The 17,888-nt window shown below is 50.7% G+C and overlaps 1 protein-coding gene and 1 long non-coding RNA gene across 2 annotated transcripts, besides 4 other annotated features; one reads left to right on the plus strand and one right to left on the minus strand.

Annotated features, from left to right (window-relative positions):
• Positions 1 to 89: 89 nt before the first annotated feature.
• TEX261 (testis expressed 261) lies at positions 90 to 9,021 on the minus strand. Its single transcript, NM_144582.3, has 6 exons — positions 8,836 to 9,021; positions 7,844 to 7,923; positions 5,978 to 6,131; positions 3,897 to 3,964; positions 3,063 to 3,165; positions 90 to 2,863 (listed from the first exon to the last, which is right to left on the minus strand). Exons 1-6 carry the CDS (start codon positions 8,903 to 8,905, stop codon positions 2,748 to 2,750), a joined length of 591 nt encoding a protein of 196 aa, NP_653183.2. The 5' UTR covers positions 8,906 to 9,021; the 3' UTR covers positions 90 to 2,747.
• Positions 8,593 to 8,682: a silencer, noted in NCBI's record as "silent region_11617". NCBI's record gives its function as "represses an Ori minimal core promoter by ATAC-STARR-seq in GM12878 lymphoblastoid cells {active_cell/tissue: GM12878}" and the evidence as "EXISTENCE:reporter gene assay evidence [ECO:0000049][PMID:35858748]".
• Positions 8,713 to 9,242: a silencer, noted in NCBI's record as "silent region_11618". NCBI's record gives its function as "represses an Ori minimal core promoter by ATAC-STARR-seq in GM12878 lymphoblastoid cells {active_cell/tissue: GM12878}" and the evidence as "EXISTENCE:reporter gene assay evidence [ECO:0000049][PMID:35858748]".
• Positions 9,783 to 9,832: an enhancer, noted in NCBI's record as "active region_16010". NCBI's record gives its function as "activates an Ori minimal core promoter by ATAC-STARR-seq in GM12878 lymphoblastoid cells {active_cell/tissue: GM12878}" and the evidence as "EXISTENCE:reporter gene assay evidence [ECO:0000049][PMID:35858748]".
• Positions 14,956 to 15,908: an enhancer, noted in NCBI's record as "H3K27ac-H3K4me1 hESC enhancer chr2:71227938-71228890 (GRCh37/hg19 assembly coordinates)". NCBI's record gives its function as "activates a minimal SCP1, AML or CMV promoter by ChIP-STARR-seq in naive H9 embryonic stem cells {active_cell/tissue: H9 hESC(naive)}" and the evidence as "EXISTENCE:reporter gene assay evidence [ECO:0000049][PMID:30033119]".
• Positions 15,406 to 17,082, plus strand: LOC105374796 (uncharacterized). Its single transcript, XR_940232.3, has 2 exons — positions 15,406 to 15,540; positions 16,659 to 17,082. It is a non-coding gene; the product is annotated as an uncharacterized LOC105374796 (long non-coding RNA).
• The last annotated feature ends 806 nt before the right edge of the window (positions 17,083 to 17,888 follow it).

The following is a 17,888-nucleotide window of genomic DNA, read 5'->3' on the forward strand; positions in this document are numbered from 1 at the left end:
TTTCCATTCGAGTCTATGAAAGCACTTGTACTTCCTCCAGGAAGTTAACTGGCTTCCCTGTATCCCCTTGTACACATCACTACAATTCATTCATTAAACAAACATTTATTGAGTGCTTTCTAGGTGCCAGGCACCAAGCCAGGCACTGTTAATACAAAAATTCCAACACAATCCTTGCCCTCAAGGAGCTTACAGTCTACTGGGGAGATGACCATTAGGCAGGCAAGTGAGCCCAGAGTGATCTGTGTAGTATGCCAGGGTGGGGGTCGGGAGGAGAGAGTATAGCCAAAGCTCCTTGGAGGAAGTCAAGTCTAAGTTGAGATTTGACAGAGAAAGTACCCTTTCTCTGTGACCAAAAGAAAGGAGGAATCAGAGTGGCAATGGAGAGCCACTGCATCTCTGGATACAGGAGGCTGGGACCCAGAATGCAAGAAGGCAAGTGATGAGACCAGAGAGGTGAGCAGGGACAAGGACACCATGAGTCTCACAAGCCATGCTGAGGGGTCCAGACTTTATCCTGAGGGCAGCAGGGAGCCAAGGAAGGTTTTAGGCCAGAGAGTGACTTGATCAACTATGCAATGCATTTTAGGAAGATAGCTCTGGCCACATGATAGAGAAGCAGTAGGAGGCTGTCACGATAATCCAGGTGAAAGCTGATGACAGTGGGAGTGGCTCAAATCAAGAGATGTTAAGGTAGACCTGACCGTTTTGAGAGATTGGATGTGGTGGGCAGAAAGAGAAAACAGGAATAGAATAAGTTTCCTGTCTGGCTCCTGAGTGATCTCGGGGTCAAGGGAAGTACCCAGAAGGGGCAGGTTTGCAGAAGACAGCAAGTACCATCTGGGCCATGGACCTGAATTGTCTGTGCACCTAGAGGGCAGCAAAACTGTGGTTCAGGTGATCAGGAAGGATGTTGGGGCTGGAGGTCAACTCTAAATTCCTCACCATCCTTGAAACCATCCAGATGGATGGGCTTCCCTAGGGAGCCCACAGCAGAACCCTGAAAGACCCTACTGTGCATGGGCAAGTGGAGAAGCCTGCACGGAAGCCTGAAAGGAACAGCCAGGGAGGTAGGACAACTAGCCACAGAGGTGCCAGGGAAGTGCCATCCAAGAAGCAAGGGGTGATCAGCCATGTCAAATGCTGCCCAGATCTAGTAAGACAGGAAAGGGGTCTGCTGGATTTAGCAAGCCCTGGGAGAACACTGGCAGTAGAGTGGAGGGGGCGAAGCCACATCATCAAGGTGAGGGACCAAGCAGCAGAGGGAGGAAAGTAGGGCCAGCTGTCAGCCCAATGGGAGGATGATGCAGGCTGCCAGTATCCCCTGCCTTGTCTATCCTGGTGTGCATAGGAGAAAAGGGCCTGGCAATCTCGTTCACACTAAGAGGAGACCAACATGTGCTCTTCCTCTCAGGGAAAGGGGAAAGCTGGTATTCTTAAGAGAAGGTAAATGCTAAAGCCAAGGAAATGAAGGGCTATGATGGAACTCCAGGCATGATATAGAGGAAATATTTTCAAGCACAGGGGTTTTTCCAGTGGCTTAAATGTATCACATGTGTACAGTTCATCTCTGTACCTGCCAGCCTCACTTTGAGGTATAGAACATGGCCAGAAATGGCTCTCATAGGGACTTCATTCCAATATGTACTGTTGAGCACTTGCAAGGCACTATAGTTGGAGTGCAAGGTCAACAAATGCAGGTCTGTGCCCAAGACCTGGCCTGCCTTCTTAGAAGGCAGATATATCTCCCCAGGAGCCAAGAGTGCACAGACGGGCCAGGGCTTGGATGCTCTTAGAGTGACAAACAGCTTCTCCCATTAGTCCCATTTCTTTAAAAACAGGCTGCCTGGAAGCTAATTTTTATTTTGTTTCTCCTTGAGCCTAAGATAGTATTCAGCCAGAAACCACTCCTTTTCCCAGAGGAAGATTTATAAATAGGATATTGTAGATGTTCTTCTGAAAATCTAGCCCAGTCCTAAATTGTCCCCTCTCCTACTCCCAGTTTGACAGTCACGGAGCCTTGGGGAAAGAGATGGAAGAGAGTGCATCAGAGAGGCTGCCTATAGCCCCACTTCCCACTCCTTGAGCAGGCTCAGCTCCTCACCCCTGCCCCCTTCCCATTAAGGGCCACAAGAACAGTCCCTTGGGAAGGGCAAGACCCAAACCCAGAAAAGGAGTCCCTGGAGCAGAAAAGTGAGTCCAGTCCAGAGCAGAAGGTTAGCAGGAAGAAAGGAAGATGAACTGTCAGGGTATTAAGGCAAACAGTGCCACCTAGAAGCGAAGCTTTATTCAAACGGAAATCTGCACTTGGACAGAAATCACCGTTCAACAGCAAAAACTATTTCTGTTGGACATGCCAAGCCATGGCCCCTCCCCATGGCCACCTGCCCAGAGAACTTGTCACCATCTGCTCTTAAGCTTCACAGACCCTGCCCTGCCTGCCCCAGCGGGGCCAGAACCTCCTGACCCACCTTGGAAGGGACAGGGGAGGACTGAGGGACCTCGGCCTCCTGGCTAAGCAGGCTCTGCCACCCTCCTTGGTGCCCTCTGAGGTTACAGCCTCTTGAAGCATCAGATCTGAGCCAAGCTGAGCCCCCCAAGGAGGGTGGGGATGGGGCTCCAGAGTTGAGGGGAAGAAAGCCAGGGCAGGTGGTAGGTGCCTTCCCGACTTCTGGTCCCCACCTGGCATAGAGGCCCAGGGGCCTGACTCTCCTGATCTTGCCCCCCACATCCTGCCTGCATGGGGGTCAGTATATCTTCTGACGACTGGGTAGAATGGCCTCTTTGATGAAGGAGAAGACAACCAGGATCCCTAAGCGTTTGCCCCGCTTGCCTTTGGTGAAATAATTGGAGACGACATCATCTGTGGAGATACAGGCAAGAATATGAGAGAGAGAGAGAGTGTGTGTGTGTGTGTGCGCATGTGTGTGAACACGGCCCTCCCAACCCCGAGTCCAGGTGTCTCCAACACAGGGCTAGATTCAGGTTCCCTCAGTGGACCCCTGCCAACCCAGGCCTTGCTGGCTTGCCCCCACCTGGGCCCCTTACAAATCCCTTCTCACCTCCTGGCTGCATGGTAGAGGGCAGGACGTTCTCCCCGGCCGAAAGTGACACAAAAAACGCAAACGGAATTATCCACAGGCAGAAAGTGAAATAGGCCAGGACCTGGCAACAAGAGAGACTGAGAAGAGGGTGCCCCGGAGGTGCCAAGAGTGGGCTGGGTGTGGTGACTGCGTGTTGGTCAAGAGTGCACAGGGGGCCACACCTGATCTCCAAAGGGGGCCCAGGCCTGGGAAGCAGGGAACGCCACCCTCAGACATGGAAATCCTTCTGTGGGGAAAGGTGGAGGCTGAAAATGACTGAATGTGGCCACAAACCCCATATCTTGGTCGCTAGGACAAGCAACTCCCCTGGACTGAAGGAGGCAGACAAAGTGCTAAGCCATGACTGACTGACCCACACCCCCCAAAGAAGTGACCTTGCTCTTCCCAGAGGTTCAAACTGGAGCAGCAGGGTGTGGAGAAATCGTGGGAGAAGAAAACCTTGGCGGCCACTGGGAAAAGCTGGGGCTCAGGGGTGCAGTCCATCCCTGCCCTGTGAGGACTGTGTCAGAGAAGGTCACCCTAGTACCCCTTCCTGACCTCAGGATGACCCCTCGAGGGGGACCCAAAGGACTCACTGAGGAAGAGCAGTGTCCTCCCCACCTCGGCCAAATGAGCACAGTCTGTCCCCATCCACACAGCTTTCTCAAACCATCTATGTTTTGTTTTTTTCAAACATGTAATCCTTGAACAGATTCAGTTTCAAATCATAGCTAAGTTTATAAAGTAAACCATGCAAGTTCCCTTTTACTACCCTGTCCCTGTTAACAGCTGAATGTGCTGGACACTTCTTACCTCTGAGAAGGGATAATATTCTTCTGCAAAAAACTGAAATGCTAGGTAATGATTCACCACCACTAGTCCTGTTGAGGGAATGAAGAGTCAGTCAGTTTAAGGGGAATAACAGAAAGCTGTACTTTTAACTTCAAAAGGCCCTCAGAAGTTGGGAGCCTCCATGGAGTCTTAGGCCTGACTTTACACTCAACTCAGAGTAGGCTACTGCCTAGAACCGTTTCCCATCTGCTAAAATGGGAGAATGAGCCTCAACCTGCCCACTGCACAGGGCATTCTGAGTAAAATTAGAAGAAGGCTCTTTGCATGTTATAAAAGTGAGACTTCTATGTTACATAATCCAAAGCATCATGACGATGAACCTCGTTTTTCGTGGATGTGAGGGCTAAAGAAAGCTCTCCCACAGTGACAGGTGGGGAGAAATCATGGGTGTGCAGACCAGACGCCCCTAAGAGGCTCTACTCCAAACTCGCAGCAAGGAGAAGGCCTGCTCAAATAAACAAACTGGGCAGCAAGGAGAAGGCCTGCTCAAATAAAAAGGCTCTCACTCCTCAGGAATAAAAGGGCAAGACTTGCTAGATGCTTTGAGGTGCAGTCTTCAGGTTCCTCAACATTCTGGGGGAGGGGGTCCCTCCTCATCCTGCCCCCAGGTAAGGCATACCGGTGTGAACTGATACGTTCTGGACACACACACACACACAGCCACCCCTCCTTGGTGTGTAACTGAGTTTATAAAAGAGGGCACGTGTGCATATCCTGGACACAGGCTGCTCAAGAGACAGTCATCCCTGCCGGTTCCCATGGTGAGGTGAAGGGCAGGCACCAGAAAGAACATGTCCCCTGAAACTGACTGTCCCCTCACACACACCTCACAGCAATTCTCATGTCTCCTTTCTTCTCTCCTGCCTCTCCCATTCTAAGGCAAAGACTACAGTTCTGCTATGCCTAGCCACACTCTAGGGCTAAGAGATAATGGGAGGTAGGATAGTGCCTGGTGCCCACAAGATCTTTTGGAAAAACTCTTTTAGGCATTAAAGGGCAGATCAAGGGAGTGAAGTCAGGGGAGCCTGCTGCTGAGGGGCTGGGGGCAGGACTTCTTCCCTGGACAGAGGGGCCTGGTCTCCATGGAAGGGCTCCCTAACAAACCTCTGCTGAACAAATTCTTTGGTGAAATCACACCCAAGGAAGAAACCAGTTTTGGCTTTAACAATATGCCCTTTGTGTGGATAATATTCACCCTCCAGGCTCTCTCATAGAAATAGAAAAGTCACTCTAAAAAACCCCTAACTCCATCTGATACCCTGACTGAAAGCTAGGGTAGCCAGCAATGATGAACAGGAGCAATGGCAATCTTGGCAACCAAAATACTTTCCGAAGCCTTTTCCAGGAATATCTGTAAATACCTATATGCACCTACTATATGCCCACTGAGTCTCCCAATAGTTCTTTCAGAAACATCCTCTCTGAATAGATGGAGAAGCTAAGGCCCAGAGAGGGCCAATGATTCCCCAGGGTCAGAAAGTGGTGGCAGGGCAACGCCAAGAAGACTGGGTCCTCCACATCCAGGCTCAAGCCCGAGGCAGCGGCAGCCAGTGAGAATGAGATGAGAAGCTGCAGCCCCCAGGAGGCATTCACACCAGGCCAGAGTCTGCAAGGTGCTCACAGCCCCATGAGGCTCCAGTCCTAACAATGACTTTGGGTCAGAGGACTGGACGGACAGCTGCCTGCCTACCGGAAGGGCTTTGGGCTTTTTCTGGCCAAGTGGTTTTTTTGAGGCTGGAACTGCTCAGTTGGGGGCCCTGCCTCAGCCAATCCACAACCTCTTCTTTCCCAAACTCTCCTTCAAACTTACCTCTCTGGGAAAGCCCTCCCTGTCTGAGTCCCCAGCCCCAACAAATTCTATTCACTAGAGCCAAGGTGGGCTCTAGAGTCCTCAGCAGTAAGAACCGCATCTTCCCAACTAGCCTGGCTTCCTGGAGGACTTCAACAGCTGGCTTCCTTTTTCTGTATCCCCTTTAGTGCCCAGGATGGAGATGGGCACACCCAACCACATCAGCTGCCTCCCCAACTCTGTCCCCTCTCACCACACGACAGGATGAAGTTAGGCGAGGTCAGCATGATGAAGGGGAAGGTCTGGAGGAGGCCAAAGTAGACGAGGTTGGTGAATAGGCCCACTCCAATCATGCTGGTGGGGAAGCGCTCAAAGACGTAGAGGCCAATCAGTACAGCGGTGGAGAACTGAAACAACCAGAGGCAGACAGTGCAGGGCGCTTCTTCCAGGCAACGTTCCTGGACTCACCAACCCCCAGCCCGCTCTGGGCAGCACTAGGTTCATGCTTCAATCTCCTCATTTCACAGGTCTGGCCTCCCCAGCTAGGTTCTCTGCTCCCAAAAGGCAACATTTTTTTTTTTTTTTTTGAGACGGAGTCTCACTCTGTCATCCAGGCTGGAGTGCAGTGGCGCGATCTCCTGGATTCAAGCAATTCTCTTGCCTCAGCCTCCTGAGTAGTTGGGACTACAGGCATGCACAACCACGCCCAGCTAATTTTTGTGTCTTTAGTAGAGACAGGGTTTTGCCATGTTGGCCAGGCTGGTCTCAAACTTCTGATGGCCTCCCAAAGTGCTGGGATTACAGGTGTGAGCCACCGCACCCAGCCCATTTCTCAAACTTTTTGACAGCAACCCACAGTAAGAAAAACATCTGCCAGGCGAGGTGGCTCACGCCTGGAATCCCAACACTTTGGGAGGCCAAGGCAGGCAGATCACCTGAGGTTGGGAGTTTGTGACCAGCCTGACCAACATGGAGAAACCCCATCTCTACTAAAAATACAAAATTAGCCAGGCATGGTGGCACATGCCTATAATCCCAGCTACTCGGGAGGCTGAGGCAGGAGAATCGCTTGAACCCAGGAGGCAGAGGTTGCGGTGAGCTGAGATTGTGCCACTGCACTCCAGCCTGGGTAATAAGAGCGAAACTCCATCTCAAAAAAAAAAAAAGAAAAAGAAAAACATTTTACACTGTGACCCCAACACATATATACATATATATGATTCAAAGCTCAAATTTCAATTCTATTTATGTTCCTTTTTTTAAAAAATGCTGATTGTGACCTACTATACAGCCAAATAATGAATCATGCCTACAGTTTGAAAAACACTACTGATAAGTACCTACAGTTGTCAGTGCTTAGCAAATGACAGTTGGCTGAATGAAGGGCTAATTACTGTGCCAACACCCACAAGCTGGGCCTCTGGACCAGAGCTGAGGGCTATAGTCTTGCCTCCACTGTGAACTCCCAACCTCAGCCATGCCCAGAGTGCACATGGCTGCTGACACCAGGCGACTTGAGGGGCTGTGGACGCTTTCTCTCCAATGGCACCCCTACCCCCAGCCTTTCCTGCAGCTGAAGGAAGTCTGTCCACCAGCAGTCACCCCTATGGCTTTGATATCAGTGGCAAGGACTGTGTCTTCAGTAAGAGAAGCCTCCCATGAGACCAGGGAAGGGCGAGGGCAGCGAAGCTGTGCCGATCTTAGGACAAATCACTTGATCCGATTAGAAAGATGGCAATGAACATATATGCAAAACTGTCTTATGGCTCCTCTAAGTTTTAAATGCTGTGAGCAGAGCAAAGGGCTAAAGACAGCGGGAGAGAGCTAAGCAAAGTCAAATCTACGGTCTTGTCAACAGAGAAGTACACTTCGCTGTCACCTTAAGGACTAGAGCACAAGGCCTGCAGTGAAACAATGCCACTTGGGGAAGGCGGCCAGGGAAGATCTGGGCCCAGGAGTGCAGACCCAAAAGACAGCGTTCAGGGCAAGGAGGTAAGAGTGTATGCTCAGGAAACAGCAGAGACACAGGCCTCATCATCCATGCCAAACTCTCCCCACTTCCTGCTTTTGAGGCAGGGCAAAAGAGTGAGGAGGACTCCTGGAGAAAGATGCCACTTACCCAGATCATGTATTTTATGATCCTGCTGGTGGCCACTGTGTATTCTTCTATCAGTTCTGCCAGGTAATAGAGTCCAGCCGCTGCAGGGTGGGAGGCAGGGAGACTATCAGCCAGGGTCACTCCCACCATCCTGGTCACCCCTCTCTCTGCAGCCCAGTCCCCATCCACCCTTCATGGACCCCAGAAGGTCAAGAACAAACCAAACATCCCATGTGTTGCCCTTCCAAGTCTGGAGAAGTAAAACTTTCTTAGGGCAACTAAGGACAAATCTCATAAAAATCAACGAAAGTCTGCATTTGATGCCACAGTACAATGATAACCTCTGGCTCAGAAAACGGAATTTCACGTATTCAATAAACACCTGCTGGGCACTTGGCATGAGCCAGGTCCCTGGGCTGAGAATACAGCTGAAAAAGACAGACAAGGGTCCTTCCCTGACCCAGCTTGGGAAAGGGAAGGGGAACAGTAGGGAGAGACAGACGAGTTTAGTGTGAGAAATGCTACTTTAGGGAAAGGACAGGGCACTGCTGGACCATCAACCCCTGTGGACTTCCCGGAAAAGATGACATCTCAACTGAGGCCGAATGGGAACCAGCCAGAGGAGAAGTGTCAAAGGTGGAGAGAGCAGGGAGCATGAAGGGCCAGAGGCGCAAAGGCGGCGGTAGGCGTTGGGGAAAAGTTCCGCGCGGCAGGCCCGCGAAGAGTGGGAGCCGCAGCGGTTAGCGGTCCGCAGACGCGGGGGCGGCACTCGAGTCACCCTTTCTCGGGCAGTGCCGGAGCGGACTCTGTGACACCTGGAAGGAGCCACGGTCAGGCCGGGCTGCCAGGCTCGACAGGAGGGGCAGGATCAGGCGGGAAGGGGTTGGGGCGGCGAAGGCCGGGAGCGCCGGGCAGTGGTCCCCCGAGTGGCTCCGAAACCCCCGCGATGCGACCCCCAACGAGCACCGATGCCGGGGCGGGAGCCCGCGCGGGCCGGGGTCGTGCAGTCTCACCGACAGCCAGCGTGATGAAGGCCACCTGGATGAAGAGCGACAGCCAGCTCAGCAGGTACATGAACCACATGGCGCCCCCACCCGCCCGCTCCCCGGCCACCGGGACGGGCCTGCGCGCTTCGGCTCCGGCGACACACAGCCGCCACCGCCGCCGCCGCCGCCGCGTCCCCGCCCCGCGGACGACAGGACGACGGTGCGCCGCCGCCGAGAGGAGCCCGGCCCTAGCGCTGCCCGGGGCCAGGCTCGCGCTAGCGCCGCCCGCCGGAGAGGAGGGCCAACCGCCGCTGCCCCGCCAGGATCCCCCGCTCCACTGAGGGGAATGAATGCAGACCGCTGCAGCCAGAGGGAGGCGGGACGGTGCCCAGGGGCGGAGACGACCAAGCGCCCATACTGGGGCTCGGAGTGCAGCCTCCAGTCCCTCCCTGTGCACTCCCGTACCAGCCTGGAGGTGGTCCAGGGCCGGACAGGGCCGCCCGACCGCGCCCCAGCAACCTCCCCAGAACCTGCCTCCCGGCAGGTTGCGGACAAGTCTGTCTCTTGCTATCGCAGGTGATAGGGACAAAATTATTGAATTCCTAATATGTGCCACGCTCTGTGATAAAGGCGAGGTGTGTTCTTGTCGGAAATTTGAGCAGATAATGTAAATCATTTTATAGACGGGGAAGCCGGGGCCAAAGGAAGTTGCCCTGGGTCATGCACCTAGGAAGCGGCACAATCAGGAGTTGGGGTGATTTTAATCGGTCATCCTCCGGCCTAATTCCCCTCTAGGCTGTTCTTTTGGGGTACATTCTGCACCTTTGTATCGCCTGCACCTCACCCCTTGCCGGGCACGCAGGGCGTCCGCTAGGCGCTGGATGCATTTACTACACCTCTGGGAGGGTTCCTGAGGGGCACCTGGAACCGGTTAGTCCTTGTCAACAAGTCTCCCATCTAGTGGCGGAGACAGGCATGCAAAATAAAGTATGTAGAACAAGAGTCTAGTAGGCTTATTTCAGAATCATATTTTTCCTGCATAAAAATACGTATTCCTAAAAAAAACAATTACCGTATGATTTAGCAATTCTACTTCTGGGTATATACCCAAAAGAACTGAGAAAGCAGAGACATTTGTATACCAATATTCATAGCATTATTCACAATGGTCAGAAGAGGGAAGCAACCCAAATGTCCATCGGTTGACGAAAAGATAGACATAAAGTGCTATAAACATACAATGGAATATTATCTAGCCTTAAAATGAAGTGAAATTCTGACACATGCTACAACATCAATGAACCTTGAAGGCATGATGCTAAGTGAAATAAGCCAAATAGGGAAGGACACACATTGTATGATTCCCCTCATATGAGGTACCCAGAGTAGTCAAAATCATGGGCAGAAAGTTAAATGGTGCTTGCCAGGGTCTGGGGGACAAAGAATGGGGAGTTACTTTTTAATGGATACAGGGTTTCAGTTTGGGAAGATGGATGGTGCTGATGGCATCACAACAGTGTGAATGTGCTTAATGTCACTGAATTGTATACAGTGTTACAGAATTGTAAAATGGTTAAAACGGTCAATTTTATGTTATGCATAGCTTCCCCCTCCCCCCAACAAAATACATAAGATTACAAAGCCCATCCTGGCTAACACGGTGAAACCCAGTCTCTACTAAAAATACAAAAAATTAGCCGGGCTTGGTGGCGGGCGCCTGTAGTCCCAGCTACTCAAGAAACTGAGGCAGGAGAAGAGCGTGAACCCGGGAGGCAGAAGTTGCAGTGAGCCGAGATTGCGCCACTGCACTCCAGCCTGGGCGACAGAGCGAGACTCCGTCTCAAGAAAAAAAAAAAAAAAAAGATTACAAAGCAGGCTGGGCACAGTGGCTCATGCCTGTAATCCCAGTACTTTGGGAGGCTGAGGTAGGAGGATCACTTGAGGCCAGGAGTTCAAGACCAGCCTGGGCAAAGAAAAATTTTAAAATGGCCAGGCATGGTGGTGCGTACCTGTAGTCGCAGTTACTCTGGGCTGAGGCAGGAGGATTACTTGAGTCCAGGAGATGGCGGCTGCAGTGAGCTATGATTGGGCCACTGCATTCCAGCTGGGATGACAGAATGAAAACTTGTCTCAAAAAAAAAAAAAATTGCAGTTGCCGGGCGCGGTGGCTCACGCCTGTAATCCCAGCACTTTGGGAGGCCGAGGCGGGAGGATCACGAGGTCAGGAGATTGAGACCATCCTGGCTAACACGGTGAAACTCTGTCTCCACTAAAAAATACAAAAAAAAAAATTAGCCGGGCATGGTGGCGGGCGCCTGTAGTCCCAGCTACTCAGGAGGCTGAGGCAGGAGAATGGCGTGAACCCGGGAGGCGGAGCTTGCAGTGAGCCGAGATCGCGTCACTGCACTCCAGCCTGGGGGACAGAGGGAGACTCCGTCTCAAAACAAAAACAAAAACAAAAATAAAACAAAAAAGATTACAAAGCAAACCAATTATATAGAAATGCAAGTATTAAACTATTTTTAGAAAACCAAATGTATTCTGTAATTTATGTGCTTCTCTATTAATATATGACATAAGCAGACCTATTGCAAAATCTAATAGCTACCTACCACAATGACAAAGTAGGAGTGAGGGTAAATGATATTTCAAGATATCATTAATCATATGAGAGAGTTATAGATAAAAATAGAAACTTTTCTCCTTCCAAGTTTCCAGGCGTCTTAAAATTGTCTCCCTAAATTCTATACCTGCTGACTTCTAAGGGGTCCCTGGACCCCCAGTTAAGAATACCTGAGAGATATGTATATGGGGCATGGTGGGGTGGCTCACGCCTATAATCCTAGCACTTTGGGAGGCCTAGGCAGGAGAATTACTTGAGCCTAGGAGTTCAAGATTGACCTAGACAACAAAGTGAGACCCCATCTCTACAAAAAATTTAGAAGTTATCCAGGTGCAATGGTGCCGGTAGTCCTGGCTACTCAGGAGTCTGAGGTGGGAGATCGCTTGAGCCTGGGAGTTCAAGGTTGCAGTGAACCAGGATCACACCACTGCACTCCAGCCTGGGTGACAGAGTGAGACCTTAAAGGGCTATATCCTTTTTTTTTTTTTTTTTGAGATGGAGTCTTGTTCTGTTGCCCAGGCTGGAGTGCAGTGGCACGATTTCAGCTCACTGCAACCTCTGCCTCCTGGGTTCAACCGATTCTCCTGCCCCAGCCTCCTGAGCAGTTGGGATTACAGGTGCCCACCACCACATCCAGCTAATTTTTGTATTTTTGTAGAGATGGGATTTCGCCATGTTGGCGAGGCTGGTCTCAAACTCCTGACCTCAAGTAACCCACACACCTTGGCCTCCCAAAGTACTGGGATTACAGTTATGAGCCACTGCACCCGGCCTCACCATATGCTTATTTACAAGGCTTTTCATTGCAGCACTGTAAGAGACTGAAAACAACCTAAGTGTTCATTGATAGGAAACTGGTTAAGTATATTTAGCCCTAAAAGCCAATGAGGGTGTTCTTTATGTACCTATATAGGACTATTTTTGAAAAAAAGCAAAAGAATGGGGAAAAGAATCTATATACACATTTTTTGCAGGGAGGGACAGGGTCTCACTCTGTCACCCAGGCTGGAGCACAGTGACAAGATCATGGCTCACTGCACCCTCAACCCACAGGGCTCAAGACATCCTCCCACTTCAGCCTCTCAAGTAGCTGGGACTACAAGTGCATGCCATAACACCTGGCTGATTTTTTTATTTTTATTTTTTGTACAGATGAGGTCTCATTATGCTGTCCAGGCTGGTCTTGAACTCCTGGGCTCAAGCAATCCTCCTGCCACAGCCTCCCAAAGTAGTACTTTGGTAATACAGGCATGAGCCACGTCACCCAGGCTACACATTTCTTTCTATAAAATATCTCTGGAAGGATACGTTAGAAAACAGTAATATTGCTTGCTTCCTAGGAAGAGAAGGGGTGGGGTTTCAGAGTAGGAAACAGCATTCCCACTGTATGTCTTTTTATATCCTTAAAATATTGAACTATGTAAAGATATGGAAAGGTGTTACCTATTCATAAATGAAGTTTACAATTAAAATGTTCATAATATGATGGGCCTGCTAGGATGTCTCCAATTTCCTGTTGTTACCCAGTCCCTATGTGAGGAAAAACCATTGAGTTGTGCCTTACTGGTAAGTTTGCTAACCTTAGGTCATGGGACTTGGTCATCCCTGATTGTTCCAATAGGGGAGCTTCATGTCCAGATCTTTTCTATTGAGGAGTTTGTATTGGAGACACGGAAGCATCAGTGAGTAACGGCACAGTAAAGTATCTCTCTCTCACTCTCTCTCTCTCTCTCTGTCTCTCTCATTTATTTACTTATTTGACATGGAGTCTTGCTCTGTTGCCCAGGCTGGAGTGCAGTGGCACAATCTCAGCTCACTGCAACCTCCGCTTCCCGGGTTCAAGCAATTCTCCTGCCTCAGCCTCCCAAGCAGCTGGTATTACAGGCATTCACCACCATGCCCAGATAATTTTTATATTTTTGTAGAGATGGAGTTTTGTCATGATGGCCAGGCTGGCCTCAAGTGATCCACCTGCCTCAGCCTCCCAAAGTGCTGGGATTACAAGCATGAGACACCACACCCAACCAGTAAAGTCTCAATTGGTATTTTTTTTTCCCTAAACATCTTCCCAGGGAAGGAGGAAACTATAAAAATATCCCCCATCCCTCTCCAGAATTGTAGATAAGGGAAACTGGAGGCCCCAAAAGGTTAAGTGCTTTCACCTTTGAACCAGCCTTGTTTTTCCAGGGCTGGGCACTTTCACTTCCCACAGTTTTAAAGCCAAAAGTAGCCTGAGAGAGGTAAGGCTGAGGATTCAAATTTCCTCCGATGGCAGGAAGAGAGAGGCCACCATTTCCTGAGAGTGGTGAGAAGTCAGGTCCACCTGACCCAACAGGACAGGGCGGGGCTCAGGGAGGATCCTTAGGCTGTGTTTGGGGAAGGAGTTACAAGGGGAGCAAACCCAGGCCTTGCCTGAAGGAGGGAAGGAAGGATAGCAGGTCCCCACACTCAATTCAAGGGACTCATTTCAAGAGTGAAAGGGTTTGGAGGTTCAAAGGTGACTGACCAGTTTGTTGATTTAAATATTGACAGGTGGCCGGGCATGGTGGCTCACATCTGTAATCCCAGCAATTTGGGCACTGAAGCAGGAGGATTGCTTGAGCCCAGGAGTTCAAGACTAGCCTGGGAAACATAGTGGGACCCCATCTCTACAAGAAATAAAAAAAATTAGCTGGGCATGGTGGCACACACTTGTGGTCCTAGCTACTTGAGAGGTGCAGGTGGGAGGATCCCTTGAGCCCAGGGGGTTGAACCTGCAATAAGCCATGTTTGCACCACTGCCCTCCAGCCTGAGTGACAGAGTGAGACCTTGTCTCCAAAAAACCCCACAAGGGCCGGGCACGATAGCTCATTCCTGTAATACCAGCACTTTGAGAGGCCGAGGCGGGTGGATCACCTGAGGTCGGGAGTTCGAGACCAGCCTGACCAACATGGAGAAACCCCCGTCTCTACTAAAAATTAAAAAAATTAGCCGGCTTGGTGGCGCATGCCTGTAATCCCAGGTACTCGGGAGGCTGAGGCAGGAGAATCACTTGAACCCAGGAGGTAGAGGTTGAGGTGAGCCAAGATCGCGCCATTGCACTACAGCCTGGGCAACAAGAGCGAAACTCCATCTCAAGGGAAAAAAAAGAAAAAGAGAGAAAAAAAAACCACACACAAATGTTACCATTTAATGTTTGTAGGGTGAAGGACCAACTCCGTATATTTCATGAGAGGGTTCTAGGGGAAACTAGTTATTTCAACATAATAGGTGTCTCTGCTTCAGAAAACAAAGACCAAATTTCTTTTCAGGTTTTTGGCTGAGATGAAGTGCAGAAAGCAATAATTGCTAGCATTTATAGTGTTCTTTCTCTGTGTCAGACACTGCTCTATGTGATTTGTATGTACTAACCTATTTAATACACACATCTAGCACAGGCGATACTATTACTGTCTCCATCACAGCTAAGAAACCAAGGCACGGAGAGGTTCAATATCTTGTCCAAAGTCATACCACTAATATTTTAAGCAGCCAGGGGTCAAACCGGGGCAGGCTGGCTCCGGAGTCCACATGGTTTTCTCTGGTCTTTCTGAGTTGAGTCACCTGACTTTGCAGTTAGGGTGATTCTGCCTGCCTTGTCATCAGGTGCCATTTGGCCAGTGGGCTGGGTCCTGCCTCATCTCCCTGCAGGCTGCCTGGTCCCCCGGGCTTTTCCTCTTCTCCCCTGCCTTTATCCTTGCAGGAACAAATGAATACACCTCAGGGTTCTGGCTTTGACCACCCCTGGTCCCCTCCACTGTCTTCACCCACTCCCCTTCTCATTCTAACAGACTTACACATTCACTATGCCTGAGGCCAAGGACATCCTTAGTAGGATCTGTGGTCCCAGTGGTCCACCCACACGCTGGGGACCTGCACATCCCCAGGGGCTAGGAAGGTGCGGGGAGGTGGAAGTAGGAGGCGGTACGGCCGGAAGTCGGCCGCCAAAGTTCCCCTTGCCGGGCTGTGTTGGCTGCTGCCCTCTAGTGGCGACCAGAGGAGCTGGCGAGGACCGAAGCCAGGTTCATCGCTTATGGAAAGCAGTTTTGAGAGACAGTGGGGACCCCACTACCCGACTCATGAAGGCCAGGTGGGCAGGCCCCGAGAGTACACACAGCCGACACCCACCCACCACACACACACAGTACACAAAATTGTAGACAGGGTCCACCTCGGCATCAGGGCTCCTGCTGCCCCGGCATGGTCTGGCTACAGACGATGGTTGTTGTGTGAGAGACTGTGAGAGACACTGTGAAATCAGACATGGCAGAGACAGGCCTGGAGGCCCAGGGCCCTCCCTCTGCCTAGTCTTCTCCTCCCCCGGTGTGGCTCTTACCTGGACCTGAACTCCTTCCCCACCAGCTCCCCAGGCCTCCCAGGAGCACAGCTTTGGGGTAGGAAGAGCTGAGGAGAGAGGTTACCGCCCGCCCCACTGCACCCTAACACATGCCATCCACCACACGATGTCCCCTCTTTAAGGTGCCACATGCTGGGGGAAATTTTTCCTGTGATGGCCCCTGTAGTTGGCAGGTGTGTTGCTTGGCACCCCACCTCTAAGATCTTGGTTCTGCAGCCGGCTAGCAAGACCAAAATTCTAGTGAGAGACAAACTACAATGAAAAACAATGACCCCTGCTATGTCCACATAATCTATGTGTCTAGGGAAGCTAGGCCTCCCAACCTGGTTTCTACACGGTGCCTGTGCCTCACCCAAGCAGCTGCCACACAGTCCTGGCACCCCCCCATCCCTGTCACATGCCTGCGGCCCCAACTCAGGTGGCTGGATTAAAGAGCTTCCTAGTGACAAGTCCTCAAAGGGCACTATTAATTGCCTCAGCATTGTCTTCAGCTAAACCACTAGAGGATAAAGGGCAGGGGGTGGGGCGGGGGTGAAGGGGTGGGGCTGGGGAACGACAAGAAGGAACGGGTGGGGAGGGAAGCACACACACACATGCACACACACACACACATGCATGCACACACATGCAGCAGAGCCCCTGAGCAGGGCTGCTCTAGTCCCATAGCCTGGGGCGCAGGGAGGCGGGCAGCTGGCTGATGAAAGTCCAGCCTCCCTGGGCTAGCAGCTCCTCTCCTGAGGCAGCCCCATTAGCCAGGACAGCAGAAAGCCATTCACGGTCACTCCTGTCATTAGCATAACGCGGATCACTGGAATCTCGGCTGAAGTGTCTCTCTGTCTTTATCCAAGCAGCTCCAGGGGGTCCTCCCATGACAGGAATTCCTGATGAGAAGAAAAGGTGCAGCTCTCTCTGACAAGCTGGCTCCTCTCCTCAGAAAAAAGAAAGAAACAAAGAGAAGAGGATGACATTGAATGTATCAGAGAACTAAGAAACTTCTGCCAGCCTGAGCAACTTCTCCAGCCAGGGCGACAGAGCAAGACCATGTCTCAAAAAAACAAACAAATGAAAAAAGAAATTTCTGGATGAGGAGGATGCTAGCTCTACATTCCACTTCACAACCAGGCCCTACATCAGCCTATATTTGAATACCATGGCAATTCACTACCCCACGATCTGTGAGGAAATTTTTCCTTACACTAAACAGATTGGTCCAGTTTCCACACTTGGGACTGCCAGAAAAAGCCTATATATCTAATATAATTTATTATAAATAGATGATATTTGTTGGACATGTCTTTTGCCAGGGACTGGGTTAGGTCCTTTATACACTCTCTTGTTTAACACCCACAATAATTCTATAAAGTAGATATTATTATTATTATTATTATTATTATTATTATTGAGACAGAGTCGCTCTGTCACCCAGGCTGGAGCGCAGTAGCATGATCACGGCTCACTGCAGTGTTGACATTCCCAGGCTCAGGTGATTCTCCTACCTCAGCCTCCTGAGAAGCTGGGACTACAGGAGTATGCCACCATGCCTGGCTGATTTTTGTATTTTTTCATAAAGACAAGATTTTGCCATGTTTCCCAGGCTGGTCTTGAACTCCTGGGGCTCAAGCAATCTGCCTACATCGGCCTCCCAAAGTGCTGGAATTACAGGCATTAGCCACCACACCCAGCCAAAATAGGTACCCATTAGATCCATTTTACAGAGGAGGAATCTGAGGCACAGAGAAGTTAAGTAGCAGCTAGCAAGTCCCAGGTAGGGCAATCCATACTAGTATACTCATGACACTGGACTTTCAGTGCTAACGCCAGGAAAGCCACTGGCATACTGGGACAAGTTGGTCACCCCAGGCCCCAGTCTTCCTGGCAATAGCATCCACATGCTTACCCACTGAAATACACTGCCTTGGAACGTCCACTCTTCAAATGTTTCTCACACGCACACGCACGCAGACACACACACACAATGCCCCCAAGTCTTCTTCTGGACCATGTCTCACCTTTTCACAGCCATTCTTCATTTAAGACAAGTGCCAGTCCCTTTGCCAGCCTCCTCCCTCTCTCGCCAGTGT

The sequence above is a fragment of the Homo sapiens genome, chromosome 2, assembly GCF_000001405.40.
Source record: "Homo sapiens chromosome 2, GRCh38.p14 Primary Assembly".
NCBI classification, from domain to species: Eukaryota; Metazoa; Chordata; class Mammalia; order Primates; family Hominidae; genus Homo; species Homo sapiens.